Genomic DNA, 6008 nt, shown 5'->3' with positions numbered 1-6008 from the left:
GACAGGATATAAGAGACTGAGCATTGGGGGGCAGATGAGGGGGTGAGGACGGTGGAGGTGGGAGTCACAAGGGTAGGCGACAGGAGCAAGGATGGAAGACTTTACAAATACGTAGAAATTAAACAGCATACTCCTAAATAATCAATGGGTCACAGAAGAAATCAAGAAAAAATCAAAAGGAAAATTAGAAAGTACTTTGACATGAATGAAAATAAACAACATACCAAAACTTATGGAATGCAGCTAAAGCAATGCTTAGAGGGAAATTTATAGCTGTCAACACTTATGCCAAAAAAGATAATATCAAATCAATAACCTAACCTTTTACCTTAAGACACAGAAAATAGAAGATCAAAGTCAACCCAAAGCAAGCAGAGGGAAAGAAATAATAAAGATTAGAGTAGAAATTAATAAAATAGAGAATAGAAAAACACTACAGAATATTATTGAAATAAAAGTTGTTTTTTCGAAAAGATGAACAAAGTTGACAAACCTACAGGTAGACTAAGAGCAAAAAGAGAATACTCAAATTACTAGAATCAGAAATGAAAGGTGAGACATTAATATTGATGTTACAGAAATGAAAGGATTATGAAGGAATACTATGAACAATTGTATGCCAATAATAGATAACATAGATAAAATGAACAATTCCTAGAATAACACATACTACCAAAACTGACTCAAGAAGAAACAGTGAACCTAAATAGACCTATAATAAGTTTGGATATTGAATTAGTAATAAAAAAAGTTCCCACAGAGAAAAGCCCAGGCCCAGATGGCTTCACTGCTGAATTCTACTAAAGGTTTAAAGAAGGCTGGGCACAGTGGCTCACACCGGTAATACTAGCATTTTGGGAGGCCAAGGTGGGTGGATCACTTGAGGTCAGGAGTTTGAGACCAGACTGACCAACATGGTGAAACCCTGTCTGTACTGAAAAAATATAAAAATTAGCCCAGAGTGGTAGTGAGCACCTGTAATCCCAGCTACTTAAGAGGTTGAGGCAGGAAAATCACTTGAACCCAGGAGATGGAGGTTGCAGTGAGCCAAGATTGGCCAGTGCGCTCCAGCCTGGGCAACAGAGTGAGACCATTTCTCAAAAAAAAAAAAAAAAAAAAAAAGGTTTAAAGAAGAATTAATACCAATTCACCAATTCTACCAAAACCAGACAAAGGTGTCACAAGAAAACTATAGACAGGGTGGACATGGTGGCTCATGCCTGTAATCCCAATGCTTTGGGAGGCAAAGGAGGGTGGATCACCTGAGGTCAGGAATTCGAGACCAGGTTGGCCAAGATGGTGAAACCCTGTCTCTACTAAAATACAAAAATTAGCCGGGCGTGGTGGTGCATGACTGTAGTCCCAACTCCCGACTACTCAGGAGCTTAAGGCAGGAGAATCGCTTGAACCTGAGAGACAGAGGTTGCAGTGAGCCAAGATTGTGCCACTGCACTCCAGCCTGGGTGACAGAGCAAAACGCTGTCTCAACAACAACAACAACAAGAAAACTGTAGACCAATATCTCTTATGAATATAAATGCAAAAATCCTCAACAAAATTCTAGCAAACTGAATGTAGCACGTCTAAAAATAATTATATACCATGACCATACGGGGTTTATTCCAGAAATGCAAAGTTGGTTTCATATAAAAAATCAATATAATATACTATATCGATAGAGTAAAAAACAAAACCACATCACTGTTTCAACAGATGCAGAAAGAGCATGTAATAAAATCCAATGTCCTTTCATAATAAAAATGAGCTAGAAGGAAACTTTCTTTTTTTGAAACAGGGTCTCACTTTGTCACTGGAGTGCAGTGGCATAATCTTGGCTCACTGCAGCCTCAACCTCTGGGTTCAAGTGATTCTCTGGCCTCAGCTCCCCAAGTAGCTGGGACTACGGGCGTGTATTACCATGCCCAGATAATTTTTGTATTTTTCGTAGATACAGGATTTCACCATGTTACCCAGGCTGGTCTCTAACTCCTGAGCTCAAGTGATCTACCCACCTCGGCCTCCCAAAGTGCTAAGGTTACAGGTGTGAGCCACCACGCTTAGCCTTGAAGTAAACTTTCTTAACTTAATACAAGGCATCTATGAAAACTCCACAGCTAACTTTTTACTAAAGGATAAAAAAATTATATGTTTTCCTCCTAAGATCAGGAACAAGACAAGGATGCCTGCTCTCATCACTTCTATTCAGTTTTATATTGAAGTTTCTCACCAGTGCAATTATGCAAGAAAAAAAAAGTATCCAGGTTAGAAAGGGGGAAATAAAACTGCCTCTATTTGCAATGATATGGTCTTGTATATAGAAAATTCTAAAGAATCCACCAATACACAAGGTCATCAAGGTTAAAAAATATAAAATCAATGTACAAAAATCAATTGTATTTCTATAAACTTGCAATACATAAGCCAAAAAATCTCATTTATAATAGCATCAATAAGAACAAAATATTTGGGAATGAATTTAACAAAAAAAGTACAAAATATATACTCTGAAAACTAAAAACAATTGTTGAAAGAAATACAGATAGAAATAATTGGGAAAACATCTTATGTTCATGGATCAGAGGCTTAATATTGTTAAGATGGCAGTATTACCCAAACTTATCTACAGATTCAGCATAATCTCTATGAAAATCCTAGCTGACTTCTTTGTAGAAATTTATAAGCTGATTCTAAAATTCATGTGGAAGTTCAAAGAATTCAGAAGAGCCAAAAAACTCTTGAAAAGGAAGAGCAAAGTTGGAAGGACTCACACTTCACAATTGTAAAACTTATTACAAGGCAACAGTAATCAAAAAAGTGTAGTACTGACAAAAGGATAGATATATAGATTAATGGAATAAAATTGAGAGTTGAGAAATTAACTCGTGCCTGTGATCAACTGATTTTCAACAAGGGTGCCAAGATAATTCGATGGGGTAAAGAAATCTTTTCAACCAATGGTGCTAAGATAACTAGATAGCCACATGCAAAAGAATGAAGTTGGACACTTACCTCACACCATATACAAAAATTAACTCAAAAGGGACAAACGACCTAAATGTAAGAGCTAAAGCTACATATCACTTAGAAGAAAACAGGGGAGTAAATCACTATGAGTTTGGATTTGGCAAAGGATCCTTAGTTATGATACCAAGAGCATGAGGAGCAAAAAGATAAATAGATAATTTGGACTTCATTAAAATTAAAAACTTTTGTGCTTCAGAGAATGCCATCAAGAGATTGAAAAGATAACCACAAAATGAGAAGAAAGTATTTGCAAATCATATATCAGATAAGGGGCCTGTATTCAGAATATATGCTGTGGTTTGAATATTTGACTCCTTCAAAACTGATGTTGAAACTTAATCCCCAATGTGGTACTATTGAGAGGTGGGGCCCTTAAAAGATGATGGAATAATAAGGGCTCTGCCCTCATGAATGGCTTAATCCATTCATGGATTAATGGATTAATGGGTTATCATGGGAGTGGGGCGGGTGGCTTTGTAAGAAGAGGAAGAGAGACCTGATCTATCATGCTCAGCCCCCTCGCCATGTGATGATGCTTGTGCTGCCTCAGGACAGGACTCTGCAGAGAGTCGCCACCTGCAAGAAGGCTCTCACCAGATGTGGTCCCTCAACTTTGCACTTCTTTTTTTTTGAGACAGGGTTTCACACTTGTTGCCCAGGCTGGAGTGCAATGGCACGATCTTAGCTCACTGCAACCTCTGCCTCCTGGGTTCAAGTGATTCTCCTGCCTCAGCCTCCCAAATAGCTGGGATTACAGGCATGCACCACCACTCCTGGCTAATTTTTTGTATTTAGTAGAGATGGAATTTCACCATGTTAGTCAAACTGGTCTCAAACTCCTGACCTCAGGTGATCCACCCACCTCGGCCTCCCAAAGTGCTGGGATTACAGGCATGTGCCACTGTGCCTGGCCCTCAGCTTTGGACTTCTCAGCCTCCATAACTGTAATAAATAAACTCATTTTCTTTATAAATTACCCAGTTTCAGATATTCTGTTATAAGCAACAGAAAATGGACTAAGACAGGTAATTATGTTTTTTGTTATTATTTTTAAATGGCAAAAACTACACTAACTTTTGCATCAGCCTAATACAAATGGCTAATCATCTCATGAAAAGATGTTCAATAGCATTAGTCATCAGGGAAATACAAATCAAAACCACAATGAGCTATTATTTCACATCCACTAAGATGGCTAACCTTAAAAAAATTCAGATAATAACAAGTGTGGGTGAGGATATGGAGAAAATGGAACTCTCATCCACTGTTGGTGAGAATGTAAAATGGTGTGACCACTTCAGAAAACCGTCTGTAAGTTTCTCAAACAATTAAACATAGAGTTAGTTACCGTATGAACCAGCAATTCTACTCCTAGGTATATACCCAAGAGAAATGAAAACCTATGTACACACAAAACCTTGTACACAAATATTTATAGTAGCAGTGTTCCTGATAGTCAAAAGGTGAAAGCAACTTAAATATCTGTCAACTGATTAGTTAATAAACAACGTGTGATATATTGATAAAATGGAATATTTGTCCATAAAAAGGAATAAAATACTGAGACGTGCTACAACACTGATGAATTTTGAAAACTATGTTAAGTGAAGGAAGGCAGTTACAAAGGACCACCACATATTATATAATTCCACATGTATGAATGTCCAGACCAGGCAAATCTAGACAGTAAATTAGTTGTTGCTTAGGAGTTGAGTTGTTGCTTATGTGTGGAGGAGGCTGGGGAAGTGACAGCTAACAGGTATGAGACTTCTTTTTGAGGTGACGAAAATGTTCTAAAATTTTGTGAGGTCTGCACGCATTTGTGAATGTGGTATAAAACTATTCACTTGTACACTTTAAATGGGTAAGTTGTATGTTTCAATTTATGTCTCAATGAAGGTATTAAATAAGAGGAAAATGGCAATTAAATGGAGCAAGTTATTTTGGATTGGATCTTTTTTTTGGGATGGGGTCTTGCTATGTTGCCCAGGCTGGCATGCAGTGGCTACTCATGGGCACGATCATTGCACACCATAGCCTTGAACTCCTGGCCTCTAGAGGTCCTCCTGCCTCTGCCACCTGAGTAGCTAGGACTACAGGTGCTTGCCACCTCACCTGGCTTGGATCTTTTTGTAATAAATGACATTATTGGGACAATTGGGGTAATTTGAATGGTGTCTGGGGATTAGATGCTACCAGTGTATCAGTGTTAATTTCTTAATTGTTTAATTTTATTTTTAATTTTTTTTTTTTAGAGACACGGTCTCTCTTTGTCACCCAGGCTGGAGTGCAGTGGCATGAGTATAGCTCACTGTAGCCTCGAATTCCTGGGCTTAAGCCATCCCCCCACGTCAGCCTCCCAAGTAGCTAGGACTACAGGTGCATACCACCATGCCCAGCTAATTTCTAATTTCTTTTTGTAGAGACATGGTCTCGCTATGTTGCCCAGGTTTGTCTTAAATTCCTGTCCTCAAGCAATCCTGCTGCCTTGGCCTACCAAAGTGCTGGGATTACAGGCGTGAGCCACTGCGACCTGGCAATTTCCTGATTTTGATGGTTGTATTTCAGTTTTGCAGGAGAATATCCTTGTTTGTAGGAAATGCACACTGAAGTATTTGTTGATGATGGGGCATCATGGTAAGTAACTTAGTCTCAAATGTCCAGGAAAAAAAGTGGGTTTTTTTTTTTTGCAACTTTTCTCTATGTTTAAGTTTGTTTCAGAATAAAAATATAGACTGGGCAAGGTGGCTCACACCTGTAATCCCAGCACTTTGGGAAGCCAAGGCGAGCAGATCACCTAGGGTCAGGAGTTCGAAACCAGCCTGGCCAACATGGCAAAACCCTGTCTCTACTAAAAATACAAAAATTAGCTAGGCGCAGTGGTAGGTGCCTGTAATCCCAGCTACTTGGGAGGCTGAGATGGGAGAATCGCTTAAACCTGGGAGGTGGAGGTTGCAGTGAGCCGAGATCACACCATTGCACTC

This window comes from Homo sapiens, chromosome 3, assembly GCF_000001405.40.
Source record: "Homo sapiens chromosome 3, GRCh38.p14 Primary Assembly".
Taxonomy (NCBI): Eukaryota; Metazoa; Chordata; class Mammalia; order Primates; family Hominidae; genus Homo; species Homo sapiens.
This window is presented reverse-complemented; position numbering follows the sequence as displayed.